This window comes from Homo sapiens, chromosome 3 (assembly GCF_000001405.40).
Source record: "Homo sapiens chromosome 3, GRCh38.p14 Primary Assembly".
Lineage (NCBI taxonomy): Eukaryota > Metazoa > Chordata > Mammalia > Primates > Hominidae > Homo > Homo sapiens.
Genome location: NC_000003.12, coordinates 177,640,760 through 177,665,125, shown reverse-complemented (window position 1 = coordinate 177,665,125; position 24,366 = coordinate 177,640,760). Strand labels below are relative to the sequence as shown.

The 24,366-nt window shown below is 40.2% G+C and overlaps 1 long non-coding RNA gene across 1 annotated transcript in view, besides 3 other annotated features; it reads right to left on the bottom strand.

Moving 5' to 3' along the window:
* Positions 1-24,366, bottom strand: part of LINC00578 (long intergenic non-protein coding RNA 578) — a 310,784-nt gene that overhangs the window by 87,579 nt on the left and 198,839 nt on the right. The gene's annotated exons all lie outside the window — the stretch shown is intronic.
* Positions 11,871-12,165: a silencer, noted in NCBI's record as "tiled region #5391; K562 Repressive DNase matched - State 10:DNaseD". NCBI's record gives its function as "represses a minimal TATA promoter and a strong SV40 promoter by Sharpr-MPRA in K562 cells {active_cell/tissue: K562}" and the evidence as "EXISTENCE:reporter gene assay evidence [ECO:0000049][PMID:27701403]".
* Positions 11,871-12,279: a biological region, named in NCBI's record as "Sharpr-MPRA regulatory region 5391".
* Positions 12,079-12,279: a silencer, noted in NCBI's record as "peak4940 fragment used in MPRA reporter construct". NCBI's record gives its function as "represses an SCP1 promoter by STARR-seq MPRAs in K562 erythroleukemia cells {active_cell/tissue: K562}" and the evidence as "EXISTENCE:reporter gene assay evidence [ECO:0000049][PMID:32103011]".

The window sequence follows — 24,366 nt, the reverse complement described above, 5'->3', positions numbered from 1 at the left end:
CGCAAGGGGTCAGGGAATTCCCTTTCTTAGTCAAAGAAAGCGGTGACAGACAGCACCTAGAATCGGTTCACTCCCACCCTAATATTGCGCTTTTCCAACTGGCTTAAAAAACGGCACACCAGGGGATTATATCCCGCACCTGGCTGGGAGGATCCTACGCCCACAGAGTCTCACTCATTGCTAGCACAGCAGTCCGAGATCAAACTGCAAGGCGGCAGCGAGGCTGGGGGAGGGGCGCCTGCCATTGCCGAGTTAGTTGTTTGATTAGGTAAACAAAGCGGCCGGGAAGCTCAAACTGGGTGGAGCCCACCACAGCTCAAGGAGGCCTGCCTGCCTCTGTAGGCTCCACCTCTGGGGGCAGGGCACAGACAAAAAGACAGCAATAACCTCTGCAGACTTAAATGTCCCTCTCTGACAGCTTTGAAGAGAGTAGTGGTTCTCCCAGCACGCAGCTTCAGATCTGAGAACGGGCAGACTGCCTCCTCAAGTGGGTCCCTGACCCCCAAGTAGCCTAACTGGGAGGCACCCCCCAGTAGGGGGCGGACTGACACCTCACATGGCCAGGTACTCCTCTGAGACAAAACTTCCAGAGGAACGATTAGGCAGCAGCATCTGTGGTTCACCAATATCCACTGTTCTGCAGCCACTGCTGCTGATACCCAGAGCAGAAAAACTGGAAACTCTAAAAATCAGAGTGCCTTTCCTCCTCCAAAGGAATGCAGCTCCTCACCAGCAATGGAACAAAGCTGGATGGAGAATGACTTTGACAAGTTGAGAGAAGAAGGCTTCAGACGATCAAACTACTCCTAGCTACAGGAGGAAATTCGAACCAATAGCAAAGAAGTTAAAAGCTTTGAAAAAAAATTAGACAAATGGATAACTAGAATAACCAATGCAGAGAAGTCCTTAAAGGACCTGATGGAGCTGAAAACCAAGGCACGAGAGCTATGTGACGAATGCAGAAGCCTCAGTAGCCAATGCGATCAACTGGAAGAAAGGTTATCAGTGATGGAAGATGAAATGAATGAAATGAAGCAAGCAGAGAAGTTTAGAGAAAAAAAGAATAAAAAGAAACGAAAAAAGCCTCCAAGAAATATGGGACTATGTGAAAAGACAAAATCTACGTCTGATTAGTGTACCTGAAAGTGACGAGGAGAATGGAACCAAGTTGGTAAACACTCTGCAGGATATTGTCCAGGAGAACTTCACCAATCTAGCAAGGCAGACCAACATTCAAATTCAGGAAATACAGAGAACGCCACAAAGATACTCTTGAGAAGAGCAACTCCAAGACACATAATTGTCAGATTCACCAAAGTTGAAATGAAGGAAAAAATGTTAAGGGCAGCCAGAGAGAAAGGTCAGGTTACCCACAAAGGGAAGCCCATCAGACTAACAGCTGATATCTCTGCAGAAACTCTACAAGCCAAAAGAGAGTGGGAGCCAATATTCAACATTCTTAAAGAAAAGAATTTTCAACCCAGAATCTCATATCCAGCCAAACTAAGCTTCATAAGTGAAGGAGAAATAAAATACTTTACAGACAAGCAAATGCTGAGAGATTTTGCCACCACCAGGCCTGCCCTAAAAGAGCTCCTGAAGGAAGCACTAAACATGGAAAGGAACAACTGGTACCAGCCACTGCAAAAACATGCCAAATTGTAAAGACCATCAAGGCTAGGAAGAAACTGCATCAACTATTGAGCAAAATAACCAGATAACATCATAATGACAGGATCAAATTCACACATAACAATATTAGCTTTAAATGTAAATGGGCTAAATGCTCCAATTAAAAGACACAGACTGGCAAATTGGATAAAGAGTCAAGACCCATTAGCGTGCTGTATTCAGGAAACCCATCTCACATGCAGAGACACACATAGGCTCAAAATAAAGGGATGGTGGAAGATCTACCAAGCAAATGGAAAACAAAAAAAGGCAGGGGTTGCAATCCTAGTCTCTGATAAAACAGACTTTAAACCAACAAAGATCAAAAGAGACAAAGAAGGCCATTACATAATGGTAAAGGAATCAATTCAACAAGAAGAGCTAACTATCCTAAATATATATGCACCCAATACAGGAGCACCCAGATTCATAAAGCAAGTTCTGAGTGACCTACAAAGAGACTTAGACTCCCACACAACAATAATGGGAGACTTTAACACCCCACTGTCAACATTAGACAGATCAACGAGACAGAAAGTTAACAAGGATACCCAGGAATTGAACTCAGCCCTGCACCAAGTGGACCTAATAGACATCTACAGAACTCTTCACCCCAAATCAACAGAATATACATTTTTTTCAGCACCACACCACACCTACTCCAAAATTGACCACATAGTTGGAAGTAAAGCACTCCTCAGCAAATGTAAAAGAACAGACATTATAACAAACTGTCTCTCACACCACAGTGCAATCAAACTAGAACTCAGGATTAAGAAACTCACTCAAAACCGCTCAACTACATGGAAACTGAACAACCTGCTCCTGAATGACTACTGGGTAAATAATGAAATGAAGGCAGAAATAAAGATGTTCTTTGAAACCAACGAGAACAAAGACATAACATACCAGAATCTCTGGGACACATTCAAAGCAGTGTGTAGAGGGAAATTTATAGCACTAAATGCCCACAAGAGAAAGCAGGAAAGATCTAAAATTGACACCCTAACATCACAATTAAAAGAGCTAGAAAAGCAAGAGCAAACACATTCAAAAGCTAGCAGAAGGCAAGAAATAACTAAAATCAGAGCAGAACTGAAGGAAATAGAGACACAAAAAACCCTTCAAAAGATTAATGAATCCAGGAGCTGGTTTTTTGAAAAGATCAACAAAATTGATAGACCGCTAGCAAGACTAATAAAGAAGAAAAGAATCAAATAGACGCAATAAAAAATGATAAAGGAGATATCACCACCGATCCTACAGAAATACAAATTAACATCAGCGAATACTATAAACAGCTCTACGCAAATAAACTAGAAAATCTAGAAGAAATGGATAAATTCCTCGACACATACATCCTCCCAAGACTAAACCAGAAAAAAGTTGAATCTCTGAATAGACCAATAACAGGCTCTGAAATTGAGGCAATAATCAATAGCTTACCAACCAAAAAAGTCCCGGACCAGATGGATTCACAGCCGAATTCTACCAGAGGTACAAACAGGAGCTGGTACCATTCCTTCTGAAACAATTCCAATGAATAGAAAAAGAAGGAATCCTCCCTAACTCATTTTATGAGGCCAGCATCATCCTAATACCAAAGCCTGGCAGAGACACAACCAAAAAAGAGAATTTTAGACCAATATCCTTGATGAACATCAGTGCAAAAATCCTCAATAAAATACTGGCAAACCAAATCCAGCAGCACATCAAAAACTTTATCCATCATGATCAAGTGGGCTTCATCCCTGGGATGCAAGGCTGGTTCAACATATGCAAATCAATAAATGTAATCCAGCATATAAACAGAACCAAAGACAAAAACCACATGATTATCTCAATAGATGCAGAAAAGGCCTTTGAAAAAATTCAACAACCCTTCATGCTAAACACTCTCAATAAATTAGGTATTGATGGGACATATCTCAAAATAATAAGAGCTATCTATGACAAACCCACAGCCAATATCATACTGAATGGACAAAAACTGGAAGCATTCCCTTTGAAAACTCGCACAAGACAGGGATGCCCTCTCTCACCACTCCTATTCAACATAGTGTTGGAAGTTCTGGCCAGGGCGATCAGGCAGGAGAAGGAAATAAAGGGCATTCAATTAGGAAAAGAGGAAGTCAAATTGTCCCTGTTTGCAGATGACATGATTGTATATCTAGAAAACCCCATTGTCTCAGCACAAAATCTCCTTAAGCTGATAAGCAACTTCAGCAAAGTCTCAGGATACAAAATCAATGTAAAAAATCACAAGCATTCTTATACACCAATAACAGACAAACAGAGAGCCAAATCATGAGTGAACTCCCATTCACAATTGCTTCAAAGAGAATAAAATACCTAGGAATCCAACTTACAAGGGATGTGAAGGACCTCTTCAAGGAGAACTACAAACCTCTGCTCAATGAAATAAAAGAGGATACAAACAAATGGAAGAACATTCCATGCTCATGGGTAGGAAGAATCAATATCGTGAAAATGGCCATACTGCCCAAGGTAATTTATAGATTCAATGCCATCCCCATCAAGTTACCAATGACTTTCTTCACAGAATTGGAAAAAACTACTTTAAAGTTCATATGGAACCAAAAAAAGAGCCCACATCGCCAAGTCAATCCTAAGCCAAAAGAACAAAGCTGGAGGCATCATGCTACCTGACTTCAAACTATACTACAAGGCTACAGTAACCAAAACAGCATGGTACTGGTACCAAAACAGAGATATAGACCAATGGAACAGAACAGAGCCCTCAGAAATAATGCCGCATATCTACAACTATCTGATCTTTGACAAACTTGACAAAAACAAGCAATGGGGAAAGGATTCCCTATTTAATAAATGGTGCTGGGAAAACTGGCTAGCCATATGTAGAAAGCTGAAACTGGATCCCTTCCTTACAACTTATACAAAAATTAATTCCAGATGGATTAAAGACTTACATGTTAGACCTAAAACCACAAAAACCCTAGAAGAAAACCTAGGCAATACCATTCAGGACATAGGCATGGGCAAGGACTTCATGTCTAAAACACCAAAAGCAATGGCAACAAAAGCCAAAATAGACAAATGGGATCTAATTAAACTAAAGAGCTTCTGCACAGCAAAAGAAACTACCATCAGAGTGAACAGGCAACCTACAGAATGGGAGAAAATTTTTGCAACCTACTCATCTGACAAAGGGCTAATATCCAGAATCTACAATGAACTCAAACAAATTTACAAGAAAAAAACAAACAACCCCATCAAAAAGTGGGCAAAGGATATGAACAGACACTTCTCAAAAGAAGACATTTATGCAGCCAAAAAACACATGAAAAAATGCTCATCATCACTGGCCATCAGAGAAATGCAAATCAAAACCACAATGAGATACCATCTCACACCAGTTAGAATGGCAATCATTAAAAAGTCAGGAAACAACAGGTGCTGGAGAGGATGTGGAGAAATAGGAGCACTTTTACACTATTGGTGGGACTGTAAAGTAGTTCAACCATTGTGGAAGTCAGTGTGGCGATTCCTCAGGGATCTAGAACTAGAAATACCATTTGACCCAGCCATCCCATTACTGGCTATATACCCAAAGGATTATAAATCATGCTGCTATAAAGACACATGCACACGTATGTTTATAGCGGCACTATTCACAATAGCAAAGACTTGGAACCAACCTAAATGTCCAACGACGATAGACTGGATTAAGAAAATGTGGCACATATACACCATGGAATACTATGCAGCCATAAAAAATGATGAGTTCATGTCCTTTGTAGGGACGTGGATGAAGCTGGAAACCATCATTCTCAGCAAACTATCGCGAGGACAAAAAACCAAACACCGCATTTCTCACTCATAGGTGGGAATTGAACAATGAGGACACATGGACACAGGAAAGGGAACATCACACACCGGGGACTGTTGCGGGGTAGGGGGAGGGGGGGATAGCATTAGGAGATATACTTAATGCTAAATGACGAGTTAATGGGTGCAGCATACCAGCATGGCACATGTATACATATGTAACCAACCTGCACGTCGTGCACATGTACCCTAAAACTTAAAGTATAATAATAATAAAATTAAAAAAAAAAAGAATAAGAAAAAAATTAAGACGACATCAAATGTGGCAGGGAACACAGATTGAGAATTTAAGTATGCCTGTAGGTTTATTGTGAGAGAATGAGAGATACTTTCCCTAGGTCCATCTCAAGGAGAAAGCAAGGCTCTGTGACCTAGATGTCTGAGACTTGACTCACTCCAAGGAAGAGAGTTTTCAGAAGCTTAGGCTCCCAAAGGAGATAGTTGTATTATTCAAGAGGAAAGCTCAGAAGTTTCTAAAAGATATGACCTTTTTATCCCAGTGGACCTTAAGGCCCCATCCTATGCAGGGCTACTAATGAGGTGATGGAGGCCTAGGTCTAAATCCTGAAACCTGTGGTCCAGGAAGGATAAAAAATCCCCAGGGCCAAGTTAGATGTGCAGGGTGTGGCACCAGATACACCCTCTTTCCAGCGAGCCCCTTCAGCAGCAAGACCAGAGGCCCTTCCTCAGATTTTCTGAAAGGTATAAGACCCTCTGTTCCCTTGAATGGCGAAACGAAAGTGTGGGGCAGAAATAGATGAAATTAAATTTCCTACCAGCATTGCAGGGAAGAGGAGGGAACAGAGTCAGATTTATTTGAACTGAAATAAACATTTCCTGCTCCCAGAGGTGAGGAGCAAATTTATACCAATTTTACAAATTTGACTGAAGTTCAAATTTGCCTTTTAGAAAACAAAATCAAGCCCTTGGGTCTTTGTAAATGAACTGCAGAACTCCACATGCTGCAGGGTACCCATATTTACCTCCCACACAGCAAGTCAACTGGAAAACCAGCCAAGCATGAGAAGTTCACCTGATTTCTCACCTTCCCAGAGCTGGAAGAATGTCTGTCTCAAGCAGTTTCAGTTACTGGACTGAGATGACCCCAGGATTTCCTCCCTTAATAGCCATTTGAAAAGAGGGAGAAAGAAAGTCCACACTCAAAAATCCTCTCTCTGGTCAGTCACCCACTTCAGCAAATACATAGGATCAAAGTGGCTAATGCTGAAATGAAGCTAATGTTACACATCAGTGTTAAAATTCATGTTTTGTTTTGTTTTATTCACAGAATCTGTTGACAATGCATAAAGGTCGCAAGAATTCTATGAGGGCATTTCACTTTTCTAGATAGCAGGCATTCATTGGCTCTTGAATGTTTCATAAGAGGCAGAACTTCTAGCTTATTGTGTTTGAGAAAAAGAAAAGCATTTTTGAATCAAAACAGAGGGGGTCTGCAAAATGAATACCAAGGAAACATGTGCAAGCAAGCACATCCAAGTAGGTTTTGTTATGTCTTATCAGCATTCAAGGGATGAGAGAAAAAATAAAAAGTGTTCAACTGTTAAATCAAGACTTCTTGTCTCCCTGTCTTGTAGTCAATTTGCCAAAAGCCTTTTCTCTTCTCTCATCCTGTTTTCCAATATCTCATAACACTAACCTGATTGATCACTTGGTCACATCAGCCAAACTCATTAGGCCAATTAAACAAGACTGTGTGTGAGGGAGAATCCAGCTCAGTGAGCTTTGGCAGTGCCATCACAACTCTGCTTCTACATGTTCCTCATAGTTGTATTTCAAGTGCTGTGTTCTTCTATGGGTGGTTTCATTTATTAAAGAGGACACATCGCCACTCGGAAGGACTTCTCAGGACACCGAAGGGAAAAAAGTATTAAAAACCAGGACAATCTGACAAAAATAGAATGCCTGTCACCCAAACCCCAAGGCAGCTTGCACACGGTGCCATATTTTAAACATGAAGGAAATAGACTCTGTCTTAACAGCCTGGTTCTGTTAGGAGAGTGACTCTCAGAGAGCCCTCTTTCCTGGTAAACATCCAAAGAGCAGCATTGTTCTGAGGGAGGCTCTTAGGGATGCCAGGTGATCGTGTGTGGGCATGTGCTGAGGGTCTGGACAGGGTCTGATAGGCTCCTGTGTGTGTTCATGGCACCGGGTGCTCTGGTGAGAGGCTGAGTCAGCCTGTAAGAAAGAGGGCCTTGCCCTAATTGTGCACAGAGGGCACACATTGATGCAATTTTTCTGGATAGGATACATTTCCTTATCTGTAAAAAGGTACCATATACGCCAGCAGCTTGGAGCCTGGGTAATAAATAGATTGGATAATGATTTATTGTCCAAAAACCTGACAATGTAGAGATAAAAACTGTCACTTTTAGGAAGTCTCTTGAATTTACTTTGACTCTTCAAGGGTCTCTGCCACAACCCTGAGATAATAGAGCTTTTGGAAAAAGCCAACCAGAGATTTGGTCCCAGACTGTTTCCTTCAAGATCTGGTAGGAGTGTGGAGAGAAGGAGGGGGAACTGACATGTTTTGTGTCTACAAACAGCACATTTGAGGACAGGGCTGTGTCTTATTCACTACTGCATTCTTAGTATCATGCACTCAATAAATCTACATGGTAGAAATGCATTTAAATTCATTTTAATTTCCAGCTTGCTCTTGTTTCCAGTAAAAGAGAGATGGTTAAAACCTATCTTCATTCTTTATATCCACAAAATTCGACCTTATGCTAGCTTGGCAAATAAGGCAGCCTTGTGAAAAATTGTCAAAAACTATTCAATATTACAAGAACCAAAGTGTCTTAGTCCAACCCGCTTAGGTGCAAATGAGACAACAGAGGTCTATAGAGTCCAAGTGACTTATTGTAGGCTACACAACCAGTTGGAGACAAAAACAGGACTAGAACTCAGGACTTCAGGTAAATCCAAAGTCTTTCTTCAATGCTTCTATGATTTAGAGAGCAGGCACATGTAGCTCTAAAATAATGTTTTTCCCGTATGTTAGGTACTGACAGCTTCCCATATGTCAAGATCTTACACCATACCTGTGGCCCCTTTTGCAACCACCATTCCCATTTTCCTAGTGCTACCTCTGCCACCAACCAAACAGCTGTACATGCGTGTACTCCATACCACACTTCGATTCCACAGCATCCATATATATGGGCCCACCCAAAAAATGCCAACTATAAGCCCATCATTTTCAAATTTGGGGGGACATGATTTATAAAAAAAACACAATAAATGATCATTGCAAGACCGCAGAGCAGGTAACTGTGTCATATACCACATCTGAACATTGGAAGGGCTAGGCCAGAGAAGCAGTAAACCAGGAAGCCCCTTGGAGTCATAAGGGAGTGGTCTGGCTTTGCAAACATCGTGGATCAGAGATACCAAGGAGATCCACCTCAAGATACCAGGATGAAACAGAAGAGTAATCTTCAAGAAGTGCTTACCATTGCCTAATTCCGTGCTTGTAGAAAGCATTCCAGGGGCTGTTACTAAAGAAAACGAAAATCGCCCCCAAAGAGTTCTGGACTCAAGTCAACCAGTGGAACAGCATTTAAAAAGATATTTGTCTAGGGAGGGATTATAGATTTTCTAAACTCCATTTCTAATAATTGGAGCGGCACATGTGGCTGGTAACTTGATAAAAATGAATACACGAAGGCCGTTATAACAGATGGAGCATTTTAGTCAAAAAATAACAAGCCATTTCTTCCTCGGGCAAAAGGAGCCAACTAATTGAATGTGGTGGGAACGTAAAAATTCAGAGCCTCAAGCACATGAAGTCACTTAGACATTTATGGCTTGGGATGAACTTGAAAAATATAGTAAAGAAAAATCTACAATGAGCAACAGATTTATGGGCTTAAAATGTACTTCCATTTGCCCTTAAAAAGCCTTCTGGGAAGAAATTTTCATTATATTTTGGACAACATGATGTTCTATCTTCTGTATCTAGAAAGTTCAAACCGGGCTAACCAGTGATGACGGAAAAGAAAATTGTATTATACCTTGATATTTTTGTGTTTCTGTTCAGTATTTTCTCAACTGAGACCACTTAGTGCCTTGTATTGATCATCATTTCATATTTATTGAGTGCCAGTGCTCAATACAACACACAGAAGATATGATGAAAACTACATCAGCGAAGTGGAGTAGAAGGTAGGGTAATGTTCCAGTAAGTTTGGGCAGTTACCTAAAACCAGAAGCATTTCTATCAGCAGGGTTCTAAGCACAGGTTATTCTTTTAAATGTCTTGGGATTGTGAAGGAGGATAGAAAGGGAGGATCTGGAAGAAGCCTTTGAAAATAGCTGTCTAGAATTGTGTTGATACAGTTTAAACTCTCTAAACCATACTATTCTGCTTATAATAATCAAGACTATTAAGAGATGGGGTGTCGGAAGTGACAAGTGACTCCTTAAAAATAAAGTTGGTCTCCAATTTAAGTTTAAAAATAATGTAGTATTTGATTATATATAATCCAAAGTATAACACACATACTGATTTTTAAATAGGAAGGAAGGAAGGGAGGGAGGGAGGGAAGGAAAGAGAAAGAAAGAGAAAAGAAAGAAAGAAAAAGAAAGAAAGAAAGAAGGAAAGAAAGAAAGAAAGAAAAGGAAAGAAAAAAAGAACAGAAAAGAAAAGAAGAATTTCAAATAATTTATATACAGTGAACACTTTACGCTCCAAGAGGTGAGGCATAATTCCCCATTCTTTAAGTATGGCGTGTGTATAGAAACTCATTTTCAAAGAGCACAGTGTGAACGCGAGGGGAAAAGTAACTTCATAGTGGAGAAATCTGGCAAACACTACCTCAGTCAGGTTACCAACAGGTTACCTCCATCAAACATCAACAGTGAGAAGTCACATTGATAGCATGCACCCTTGATATGATATGGTGGTCTTCCTCTCCAAATCCATAAACCCAGTCTACTCATGAGAAAAACATCAGATACATTCCACTTGAGGAATAGTCTACAAAATACCTTACCAAAACTCAATATATTCAAAAGCAAGGAAATTCTGAGATACTGTCACAGCCCATAGGAGTCTAAGAAGACATACTGAATGTAATGTGGCATCCTGAATGGGATTCTGGAAGAGAAAAAGAATATTAAGTAAAAACTAAGGGAATCTGAATAAAGTATGAACTATATTTAAAATTGGTTCATTTATTGTGACAAATACACCATAATAATTTAAGGTGCTAAAAATAGGAAAAACTGGGTGATGAATTTATGGGAACTCCTTGCTATCTTTTCATGTTTTCTGCATTTTTCTAAAACTACTAAAAGAAAATTTTATTTTAAAAAATAAAATGGAAGGTGGTTGCAGCAAAGAAACAATAGAAGAGGTGAGCATTAAAAGGAAATGGAAGTTAACATCAAAAGTAGGAGCTCTCATGAATAGGGCTGCAATGAACATTCACGTGCATGTGTCTTTATGGTAGAATGATTCATATTCTTTTGGGTATATACCCAATAATGAGATTGAGATTGCTGGGTCCAACGGTAGTTCTGTTTTTAGCTCTTTGAGGAATCACCACACTGCTTTCTGCAATGGTTGAACGAATTTACACTCCTACCAACAGTGTATAAGCGTTCCCCTTTCTCTGCAACCTCACCAGCATCTATTATTTTTTGACTTTTTAATAATAGCCATTCTGACTGGTTCGTGAGATGGTATTTCGTTGTGGTTTCGATTTGCATTTCCCTAATGATCAGCGATATTGAGCTTTTTTCATATGCTTCCCGGGCCACATGTATGTCTTCCTTTGAAAATTGTCTGTTCATGTTCTTTGCCCACTTTTTAATGGGGTTGTTTGGGGGTTTTTGGGCAAATTAAAAGAAATGAAATCAACCTAAATGCCCACCAATGATAGACCAGATAAAGAAAGTGTGGTACATATACAACATGGACTACTACCCAGCCATAAGAAAGCACAAGATCACGTCCTTTGCAGGAACATGGGTGGAGCTGGAGGCCATTATCCTTAGCAAACTAACACAGGAACAGAAAACCAAATACTGCATGTTCTCACTTATAAGCAGAAGCTAAATGATGAGAACACATAGACACAAAGAAGAGAACAGCAGACACTGAGGCCTATTTGAGGGTGGAGGACGGGAGGAGGGAGAAAAGCAGAAAAAAATAACTATTGAGTACTAGGCTTAGTATCTTAGCATTGGGACCATACAACAAACCCGTGTGACAGGAGTTTACCTACATAACAAACCTGCATATCTACCCTTAACCTAAAATATAAGTTAAGGAAAAAAAAAAAAAAGTAGGAGCTCTCAACCCAGTGGAGTCTTGAATGTTAGCACTGGGGAAAAAAAGTCAAAATTCATGGTTAAATGCCAAAGAGAACTGTTTGGAACAATGTGTTAAGAACAGCTGTGAGATATTCATAAGCACAATTAGCACCTTGACTGACTGGCAGTCAAAAATAAACCAGCTGTAGGGGAGTGAGCAGGCCAGGGTCATAAACAGTTCCTGCAATGCCTTCGAAATGAGACAAGGCAGCCCGCAAGAGGAAAGTGTTAGGTAAACAGAGGCCAGATTTGTAACAAGAACTCCTGTGTTATGTGTTCTCTCTGGTGTTTCTAATTAAGAGTAAGAGTTGAACCTCATTTTTTCAAAATTATCATTTTGACATTTTTTTCACTTTTATAAAGGCTTTTATGTCTAGATACCGCAGCGCATGCTGCTCACTACCTTAAATTTTGCCTAGTAGAAGAGAACCTAAAACCAATTCTGCAATGCTACATCCGACCAGCCTTTAGTTTCAGCTGCAGGTTCTTTATTTGGAGGGGCTGAATCATCCATTTCTCACCTTTTTCACCAGCCAAGTATTTTTAACTTACTGTCAGCTATGCAGTGAACATAGGTCTATAAAGAAAATGTGCATTTTTCACTTTTCTGCTTTCAATTGCTGAATCCAGGAATGCATTACAGAAAAAAAAAAAGTAAGGTATTTTATGTAAAAATAATATTGGTTTGTTTCACATTCTTCTCCATTTTTGTTTTTAGTGCTCAAAGTGAGTCTTTGCCACTCTAAACAGAGACCACTTCTTAACTGGTGACAGCTTATTTGCACTACCCCAAGTAAAGAAAAACAGTGTGCAGTGGCCCTGAGATCTCCAATGGGCTGCAGGGCTAGATGAGTTGTAGAGATGGTTGTATCCAACTCCCTATACCAGGAAGATCTGATCCAGAAGCTGAGCCTCTGTGTACCTGTCCTGCTAGACCTCAAAATCTGGAACAGGGAAGGGACAGAGCTTAAACTGATGTTTTAGAGCCATTTACACACTGATAAGGAACTCAACATCAGGAAAACAGTTTGTTCCAACATCTAAAGGAAACTGTCAGGGTTACATTGGGCTCTTAGGAGTAAACTAAGAAAATGGAAGTAGGGAGGCCAAGCAATGGGTAGAAGAAGAAGAGAGAGGTGCATTTCTCATCATGAGCACATGTGGACAGCATAGCAATTAAAAGCATTTAAGCAAGACTTTGCTTCTCTCTCTGTTGTTGTTGTTGTTAGCATGATAAATAAAGAATAGATTTCCTGGTCAGGGCTAGAAAAGTATACAGCAATGACTGGATTTACAGAATGGTGAAATTCAGGTAATACAATTCTATGTGCTACATTCAAAAACAGAAAGAATAAATTATGCCTTGGAAAAAGGAACACTGGGAAATACCAAGCCAATTAAGATACTGATTACCAGATTTGCTGGCTGAGCACATACTGCATACCCAGAATCGGTATGCCACAAAACACAGAACAGAGAAATTAAGATGGGGAAAGGTCATCTATAAAAGGTGACCAGAGCAAGATGTTTTGAAGGTATGAAGGCTTGAAGGCAAGCACAGGGGCAGGGTCTGACAGGAGGGAGGGTGACGGCCCATGCAGAAGGAAATAGTTACCCCTTGAGCTATGCAAGTTTGAAGAAAACTCCAAAGTATCTGTTCTGTCCTCAGAGTCTTTACAGATATTTCAGATGGGCAAAACCAAACTCAATTCTGTAACAGAAAAGCAAATAATTATAGTAAACACTTATATAGCAATTGTTCTATGTCAGATACATATAAATATAGTAACTTATTTAATGTTTACAATAATCCTATGCAGAAGGGACTTTGTTCTCCCTATTTTACAGATGAAAACAGAGTTTGGTTGCAAAACCAAACTTAATTCTATAACAGAAAAGCAAATACTTCAGATGGGCAAATACAGATATTTCAGATGGGCAAAACCAAACTCAATTCTGTAACAGAAAAGCAAATAATTATAGTAAATACTTATGTACCAATTGTTCTATGTCAGATACACATAAATATATTAACTTATTTAATATTTACAATAATCTTATGCAGAGGGGACTTTGTTCGCCCTATTTTACAAATGAAAAAAACCAGACACAAAGAGGTCAAGTGACTTGCCCAAGGTTACACAGCTAATAAGTGTGCTCTTAGCCATTATATGCTGATTCGTATCCCATATAAGCTACCTGCCACCAGACAAGAGCATACATATTCAGCTTATAGCTGTGCTGTGACCTAAAACAATTAAAATAAACTGTTCGGAGCCACTTTGCTTCTTCGTCTTTGTGCTCTCACTCAACCATTCCACAAATACATTAATATATCGAATGCATACTGTGCACCATGCACTATTATAAGATTTGGGGATACAAAACATTAAATATCCTTGCCTTCCTGAAGCATACATTCTAGTGAGGGACAACAGACAAATAAAATAAATAAGCATCATATGTAGTATATTAGACAGTAATACGTATGGTGGATACAAAGCAGGAAAGAGAGACAGAAATCACAGCTGAAATTTTGAATGTTATATATCCTGAAAGAGCTGAGGGAGAAAACCAACAGGTATTCAGGGAGAAAGCACTCCAGGTAGAGGGAGCAGCAAACATAAATATCCTAGGGCCAGAAAGGGAGAAAATGTCCAAGGGGATTTTGTGGCTAGAATGGATTTATCTTTGGTTAAGTCCCTAGGCCAAGTCTCAAAATGTGTTTTATCCCAAATAAAAGTGAAGTACAAGCAGTCTTCAAATTATGTATACTTCACATACTGCTCTTCTACTACAAGGATTTCCCTTCATATATCATCCTTCCAGAAATAACTCAAAAGCTACTGACTCCTCCCAGATTCTTCCTTAGTCTCTTGCTAAGAGCAGTACATGCCTTTTCCAAATTCCTTATGGTATTCACCACTCCCCACCTTGCTTTTGATTATACTTTATCTTATACATTCATTGAGGACAGAATATGGATTTGGTTCATTATTTAATTCTCTACTGACTTTGGCCTTGCTCGTTGTCAATATTCAATAAATGGTTGTTGAAAAGGTTTGAGTGCGTGATTTCTATTGAATTAAACTCCATATTATACTAATGTTACTAACTTCACATCTCTATTTTATTACAATGAGGAAAGATATTTTAGCCGTACTTTCTCAAATTTTTGGTTGCTTAATACAATTTTTTTGCCAAAATATTTCAACTTATCAATATGTAAAACTTCAAGCTTATATTTTAAGCTTCAATGATCTTAAAGAGTAACACATTTTCCCACACAACCATAAACTAAAAGAGAAAGATTCATTTCTATGACTTTGCTGTAAATAAAAATGGCAGATTGCAAAATATCTTTGCTTATGTAATCAAAACATAATAAAGAATAACATATTTAAATATGTCAAGTAGAGAGAATATTTTTAAATGAAGCTGAATTTCCATTTTTTCCCAATCTGGCAACGACCAGTGGCTTCTCTCCTATGATTTCCTGACTGAAAAATTTATTAGATAGAATGTGTTCCTGTAAGGAATACTAAAAAATCTGACATGGGCTTGTGAGGATAGTATAGCTAATGATTCACTACCACACTGCTTTCAAAAATCAAGAAGTACAAAGATAAGGTAAGACAGAGTAGGACAGAATTTAAAATAATTTCCCCAAAAATTCTCCTTATTCCTCTGATATAGAATGAAGTCAATAATGTCACAGAACTGATTTGAAACTAACCAGGCATCTATTTCAGCTTCATGGTTATTAATGGTTTTAAGAGTAGAAAATAAATGCGAAAATCAATGATAGAAACATTTTGGGGAAACAAATTCCTGGTTTGGAATTGTTTCCTCCTTCTGTGTCTACCTCCGTGGAGTGACTTTAGGTGGTATGACCTGGCTGGGGTGTGCAGGCCTCTATGCAGAACACTCACTTGGGGAAGCTGGCCCTTGGCCCAAGGAAAGCTGTTCAAAGATCCTGACTGAGGCTCCAATTGATCAATAGATGAACACTGCTGATGCTGAGGACTGGATAACCCAGGACACTTCTGCTCAAGGACCTATAGATTAACCAAGACTTCATGTCTTATTGCAGAGGGGATAAGAGGGGAAGGCAGATGCAATGTTCTGGCTATCAGACACTAGAAACTGCTCAGCCCCTAATAAACACAACTCAATACTCTCTGTGCCATCTTGGGTTTCAAAATATGAGTCTCTTGGAATATAGAAGCTATTTTCCCTTTTTCCCCTCTCCTTTTCCTAATCCAGAATAGCATCACCTCCTCAATTGTCTTGAATATAATTTTTTCCCAAAACTAAACCTGGCTGTCATTCATACCGTCTTCAGTCATTCATACCGTCTTCAATCATTCATACAATAAATATTTCCAGAGCACCCACCGTGTGACTGGGCTTGCAAGACAGGATGCTGAAAAGACAGGTGTGGTTCTTGTGTTCCTTAGGGACAGAGGAAAGGATGAGTGCCCTGAAGTGCAGTGAACAATGACCCACAGCCCGCTTCTCAATACACGATGGCTTATTGAAGAATGTGTCACACAATGAAAGACACTGGTAAACACTGAACCTCACAAAGTGAGGTTCTAGGGAGAGGCAAGAATTATATCAGAACCACAGAAGGAGATTTTCCAAGCTCCACAAGCCCAACAATAGTTTTCACCCCTCCCACCTAACGGCCTCCCACTCCCACTCCAATTCCAATGTTAACCTTACCACCTCCTCTCCTGCCCAATATAATGGAAACATTTGTATTTTTCCTTCTTAGCCATTTTTTTTTCTCTGCAGTCTATAGAGGGGTACATGAGGCTGATGGTGGGGAAAATAGAGTACACTTTGGGCTTTGCATTTCCACAACTGATTCATGACATTAGCAGAGGCAGGCACTTGAGAACAAGAAAAAACAAAACTATTGGAGATTCTGAAGATTTGGCTTTGAATTACAAAAGATAAATTCTGGAAAATTCAGAACAAAGCATTCATGGAGTGGGAAACATTTCAGAGGAAACTAGCTGTGCAAAGAGCAGCTTTCCTACCACTTGGAGAAGAAATAATAATTGTAAGAGCTTGCATGCTGTGAGGACCTGAGAAGTGGCTTGGCACACTGACAATGCCATCTCTCATAGGACCTTGGTAGCATCCACACCAGAAGTCACAGGTGAGAACTGGGGATTTCAGAGAAAAAGAGCCCATTTCCTGGCTTTCCACAATGCGGTTCAGATACTGCGCAGCTCACAGCAAAGCCCTGAGTTTGACACGATGCCAAGCTGTAGGTCAAAGGGCCGAAGGAGGAATATAGGTGCAGTTCCCAAAGCTGTGATTTCTGCAGGGTGGTAAGTGGAAAAGAGCCAAGAGTACCTAAGAAGGCACACAATCCCAATGCGCATACAAAAAAAGTCACAGAAGTGGTTGAGAAAAGGGGTTACCACTCACAGTTCCAGGTCAGAGGATACAGGGTGCATAAACCTTCCATGGAGGGAAGACCAAAGACCAAATGGAAGGAGACCCCCCCCACACACCCTCTGTGAGAACCACAGAGATCAGAGACAAACAGGAAAATCAGATTTTCTTTCCTTATGCCACACCAACCTGCCAGGAACTCCGGGGAAGCAGAAGAAGCAAAGAAAATTCTGATTAGACTGAATTTTAGACCAAATTTAGATTTTAGTTTCGATTTAAACTAGAAGTGAATGTTGTCAAAGTGATAACATTAAGTTTTCCATTAAAAGCAGAAATAGGAACTAGAGAGCGTTAAATTCATTTATAGAGATAGAAAGTTTCAGCTTTGCACATTCAAGCCTGTGGACTATTATTATTTATAAAACTCATACCTTTTTTATTGGCACAGAAGAACAGATACTCCCCAAGCAAATTTATTGACAGAGAATTGCAGGAGACCAAATTCTAAGAGACACACCATAAATCCAAATTATCTTCTTTCTCAACACTTCTTTGAAAAGATCATGGTAAACTTTAATACAAAGATAGTAATGGGTGACCAATTCAAACATTTCATAAACCACACTGATTAATTAGTTCAGTTGAAGTGTATTGGAGGGTTTTTCTCATTGTAAATTTTTGTTACAAATAAATAATCCTTAGCAATTAATGTTATAAGCTAAGTAATAGTTTCCAAGCTAAACAATGCAGATGTCTTCAACCAACCTTCCACCACAGAGCTTCCTGTCCCTCTCCAGGCTGTGTGTGTCTCTCCAACACTGCAGTCGGCCAGCATGCTGAGATACAATACCGGAAATCCACATGCAGGCTCCCATCAAGTTGGGCAAGCCAGACAAGAAAGACACTTAAAACCCTCTTTGATATAAATAATAGCTTTTATTAACTCGGCCAAGGAACCTAACCTTTTTTGCAAGTCATGTTGCCCTGGGCACTCAAGTGGAACTTACTCCCAACTAGACTCACCAACTATTTGATCCAAATCTTCTTCCCCACTCCTACCCCAACCTATCATTGTGCTGTTTCATTATGATTATCCACTTAAAATTTGTCTGGTTAGATATAACTCATTATTTCAATTTGTCAAGAGCACTTTGTCAGCTAATCTTCATCTAAATATTCACTTCTCCCAACTTGAGTCCATTTGAAAATTTCATCAGCATGCCATTAATATCCACCTCTGAAACACTGTTGAAAATAGTGACATGTGGTCGGTTAAGACAGAGACCACTCTCAAGTATGCAGTTGACCTCATACTCATGCCTCCTTTGGGTTCTGTTTTCAACCAGTTATGAATTTCACTCACAGTACTGGGAAGTACCAACCTGCATCCCTTCTTACTGTTCTCAAAAAGACACCATGAGTGACTTTGTCAGATTCCAGCCAAAGTTGCAATGTGCTATACTTCTGTCATTCCTTAAATCTCCTGATCTACCAACTCTATGCTATTCTTTCATATATAGTTTTAGCTCAAGGATAAAAGGCATTGACTATTACTCTAAGAAGAAAACAAGGACTGTTGGGTGGAATTCCCAGGCTCTTCTTCAGACCAGCCTTGGGAACTATGAACTGTCCAGAGAGAAGACACAGCCTATACACCGAGGTTAACCAGAAAATAACACTTTTGGAAAACTAGAATAAATCCATATGTTAACAGGAAAAGTGCAATGGGAGAGAGTGAAGAAATCTGAGAGTAGAGAGAGATAAGAGGGGCCAGACCTTGTAAGTCATGTTAGGGAATATGGACTTTATCCTGAGGACAATGGGGAATCATTGACTGATATTAAAACAAGAGAGTGACATGATCAGATTTACATTTTACAAAGATGACAGAAAAAGACTTTTCTGGAAACTCCTGCTTTGACAAGGAAGTGGGAATAGGTGACCTCTAAGGTCCCGTACAACGCAAAGTCTTTGGTTCTATTGCTTAGCTAATCAGGAAACTCAAATGAAGGTTATCTTAGTCTAGGAAGATTTGCACTTTTCCTTTCCTCATAACATTGTCTGGATCCATCATTCCCATTGTGTGTGTGTGTACGTGTGTGTGTGTGTTTGTGGGGCTTGGTGTAGCTAACCTCACAATATCCTAGCATCCTTGTCTGGATCCATCATTCCCATTGTGTGTGTGTGTACGTGTGTGTGTGTGTTTGCGGGGCTTGGTGTAGCTAACCTCACAATATCCTAGCATCCTTGTCTGGATCCATCATTCCCATTGTGTGTGTGTGTACGTGTGTGTGTGTGTTTGCGGGGCTTGGTGTAGCTAACCTCACAATATCCTAGCATCCTTGTCTGGATCCATCACTCCCATTGTGTGTGTGTGTACGTGTGTGTGTGTGTTTGCGGGGCTTGGTGTAGCTAACCTCACAATATCCTAGCATCCTTGTCTGGATCCATCATTCCCATTGTGTGTGTGTGTACGTGTGTGTGTGTGTGTACGTGTGTGTGTGTGTTTGCGGGGCTTGGTGTAGCTAACCTCACAATATCCTAGCATCCTTGTCTGGATCCATCACTCCCATTGTGTGTGTGTGTACATGTGTGTGTGTGTGTTTGCGGGGCTTGGTGTAGCTAACCTCACAATATCCTAGCATCCTTGCATATGAAGGTGGAATAGGTTCTCACTGTCACTACACGCTTCCTGCTGAGCAAGCCAGGCTGCTAGGAACTGAAACAATCACTGAGCCTAACTTATAAGTTGCAAAGTACATGAGTGCCAACTACCAATGTTGAAAAAAAATCAAGGAAGTGACAAAAGTTTGATAGAAACTTGATTGAAATTTCATTACTATCAAGCATCATGCTGTCCAAAAAAAAAGTAACAGATTATTAGATGATCAACTCAGGATTCCTTATATCACTTGTTAAGAAAAATTATCCATAACTTATAAACAAGGACAAAAAATAACTGCATGTTATTTCAATGTCACACTCAGACAGTGTTTAAGAGGCTCATTTGGGGATTACTTATTTTCTAAAATAATCTACCATGACTTGCCTTTGCTATTTAAAATACAAATTAAGGGTTCACGCTCTGTGAAGTTCCACGTTATTTTACAGAAGCAATATTTTCTAAGAGAAAAAAATAACCCCAAATTCTATGATTTATTATCCTACCGGAGATTTACTAGTTTGTTTGTAACCTAGCAATCTAATTTAACATTCCTTTATTAAACTGCCTATAAATACTCAGCTCCTCAAATGCTCTTTGAACCAGCTTAATGATTTTCTCTCATTAATTAATGAGTTGAATAATATCTTTGACACATGCTCATTCTATATTTGTTTTGAGAGCCCTGTTTTAACTTTTTGAAAATTATACCTTGACATTCTTAGCACTAAATAACTTAGTGTTATTCTCCACTGTACCCTGTCCTCCTGCTCAGTTTTAAGGTCTGAACGTGGCAGGCTCATATTTTTCACAGTGGGTCTTTCCTCTCCTTCCTTTCTTTTTTTCTTTTTTTGTTTGGTTTTGTTTTGTTTGTTTGATTGTTTGATGCCGTTATCAAGTAGAGCAGACCTGGGAAGACTGGTGCATCCTTATTTCTGTCATCTTAGAAAATAACATATATAAGAAAATATTTATATCTAGGGCAGAAGAAAATTAGAGATATATTTTTTTCCTTTCAGCCTCTTCTCTCCTCCATTTTTACTGCTGAAAAATTATCCAAAGGCATGAAAATATTTCATAGAAATGTCTTCTGAGTTGTGAGGGAATTCTTGCCCATTTGAACAAATTGAATAGACATTTGAAAGCAAATCAGAATGCCCCTTACTGCTTGGCCAATGTGTAAGGATTTGGAGCTGCTTATCTGTGTTGCCATGTCCTTATTACTACGGGTTTCTTGATCTGCACAATCGATGTAATGAAACCTGGTGCTGAGTATGGCTATAAAACTGTTCTTTGGGTGGTAGTTCATGACAAATATGTGTAAACCAATAAGAGAAATAAAAGACTGCATTAGAAAAACTTTTTGAAAATGTAACTAATACCTGAAATAACCCAAAGTTTTTGCTTTGTGTCCTGTGGAGATTTATTATGCTTTCCAATGAAAATAATCAGTGATGTATACATGACCTGGCACCTGAAAACGGAATTTTCCACACCACTTTGAGACTTTTGTTTTTTCCCCCATTTATAAAAAAGATTTAATCCCTCAACCACCAAATAAAAAGTAGAGAGGAATGAACAGTCCTGATTCATTACTATCATGCTAATTCCACAGTTACGTTGTTTCCACAGTTAACGTTGCTCATTTTATCTAATGCCACTCAGAATCACTTGGTTTTCTTTTTTTTTTTTTTTTTTCTTGGCTTGGAGACGGAGTCTTGCTCTGTCTCCAGGCTGGAGTGCAGTGGCACGATCTCGGCTCACTGCAACCTCCACCTCCAGGGTTCAAGCAATTCTCCTGCCTCAGCCTCCTGAGTAGCTGGGACTACAGGCATATGCCACCACACCCAGCTAATTTTTGTATTTTTTAGTAGAGACGGCGTTTCACCGTGTTGGCCAGGATGGTCTCAATCTCTTGACCTCGTGATCCGCCCGCCTTGGCCTCCCAAAGTGCTGGGATTATAGGCATGAACCACCACACCCCGGCCTACTTGGTTTTCTTAAAGTCTGTTAGCTAAGTTTGTGCAGCTTCTTAAAAATACAATATTGGTTTTAATAACCCAGATTTGAGATTATTTTGGTTGTTAGCATAAATTTCATCTTCTTTCATGCTAGAAACATTTCCTGTTTCAAAACCATTCAGCCAATAAGTATTGTGCTGTTATTTTTGTGGCTTTTACAGGATCTGACAACTCGAGCAGCTGCCATCAAGGTACATCATGGCACAAAGGACGGCTCTCAAACATCGGATGTACAGAGACTACCATTAATATTGCAGTGTGTGTCTTTTGTATTAAGTTGGTTTCTGAAAATATCTCTGACAGATGCTGCTAGGCCAAAGTGCCTCCCACAGCTGCAGCTCTAGAGAAATCCGCGGTGGATGTTCTCCTCTAACAGTTTTCTGGTCCCTGTGACAGTGCCCACTGCTTCACTACTGCTCTCAGGTGGTGTGCTTGGTGGCAGTGCCGTGGGCATGGGAGGTTGTGGAGGGGGCTGGGCTATGCAAACTGCTGAGCCAGAACCATCCCTGTGGTGGAGCCTGGGACCCAGCACCCAGCACAGCAGCAGCCAGGAGCTGAGCTGGCAATGGAGAAAGAACGCTGAAAGGGAATGGTTGCCTGGCGTTTAGTAAATGAGCTGTCTGAAAATAATCTGAATGGGGAGAAGGAGTTTTCTTCTCTTGTGATTTTCTGGGATTCCATTTATTCATATAATTACTTCACCTCATTTCAAAAACAATGGTAGGGGGTTGGGGGAGGGCTTGAAGTGCTTTAAGCAGTGCCCCTCTGAACATATACCCAGGAAACAGTTTGCCTCTCACTGTTCCATGTCTGTTGTTTAGCTCCCAAACAATTAAGCAGGAGCACATAAGCTCTCCCAGGCTGAGTCTGCACCCACTGCAACAGTCACCTCACAGTGAGAGAGGGAGAGATGACGAGGAGAAGTTTCATTAACCTTTTCCATGCCCCAGACAAACAGCTTGATTTCAGCTGAGACCCAGTATGGCCCCAAGAAGTGGAGGGTTCAGAGTCCTTTCCAATGGGCCCTCCCGCCCTGTCGTTCACCTGCCCACTCAGCCCAGAAGGAAAGTTGTAGACCCCTCTTCTTTCTAGAGCTGCTCATGATTCTTATTAATCAAATGAGAGGAGCAGAACGTATGGTCAAAACAAGCAACATATGCGGCCCCACATTTTTAAGATACTTATCGAAAAGGGATTATCTGTTCCCTGTAGATGGATTCAAAGATAGCAAATTGCACGCTCAGAGTGCACAGGGTACAAAGCGCAAATAGGCAATTTGGTTCAATATCTCCCAACTTAAACCCACTGCTTTTTCAACAGAAATGTTTTTTACATCAAGTGTTGCCTCTGTTCTCACTCTCCCTCCTTCTTGATCTTTTAATCTAACCCTGTCTTCTTGACTTCTTTCTAGCCCCTGCCCCATTGCCATTGGTTTATAGGTCAAATTGCTTGAGTTAAATGCATAGAAGATGCAACTATTTCAGACCTCACTTTAAACAATGTGGTAAGTGTTAAGACAGAATAAAAGATAAACCAAAATATTGTAGAAGATGATTCTAATGGCATATCCAGGAGCTAACCTGCTCTGCATTGATGAGTTTAGCTATCATAATTCCAAAGGAACACTATGATTGAGAACAACCAAGAGCACTACTAACTCCAGCATCACCAAGGAGACTGCCAAGTCCTTGCTGAGGCTCCACCCTACCCTCTCCTTCTCTCTGGCTTTGCACTCCCAACACCACACAATTGTGGCAGGCCACAGGATGCCCACCATTACATGCTAGGAATTCTAGCAGAGCGAGTCCTCAGTAGTTCTAATGCCATATTTGAAGAAATTACATGTTAATTTTTTTAAATCCTCTCTCAATAATTCTAAGATGTGGATGCTTACAATCTTGTTCACTTAAAATCTACAGTTCTAGAAAAAAAATCAGAGGATTAAGATGGTGGATAGGAGGCAGGACTAGCTTGCAGCTCCCTCTCGGACAACAGAGCAGTGTGTGGAGACCCACATCGTGAACTACCACAGAAACATACCAGGAAAGCCAAGAGAATCCACAGACCCTCTGAAGGAACTGGATCACTGCTGCAGGCTCCCTGAGATGCTGAAAAACTGTAAGTCTGCTTGCTTTCTCAGCTGGGAAGCTCATGGTCTGGGGCAAGTTCTCAGCCCTGGTCACTGGCTGCCTGGAAATAGACTCGGTGCTGTTGTCGCGGCACAGTGGGAATGAGACCAGCCTTTAGGACTACCGACTGCATGGAAGCGGGGTGAGGCCTGTGACTGCTGGCTTTCCCCCACTTCCCTAGTGACCTGTATGACTCAGCAGAGGCAGCCATAATCCCACAGGGAACATAACTTCTTCGGCCTGAGAACCACACCCCCATCCT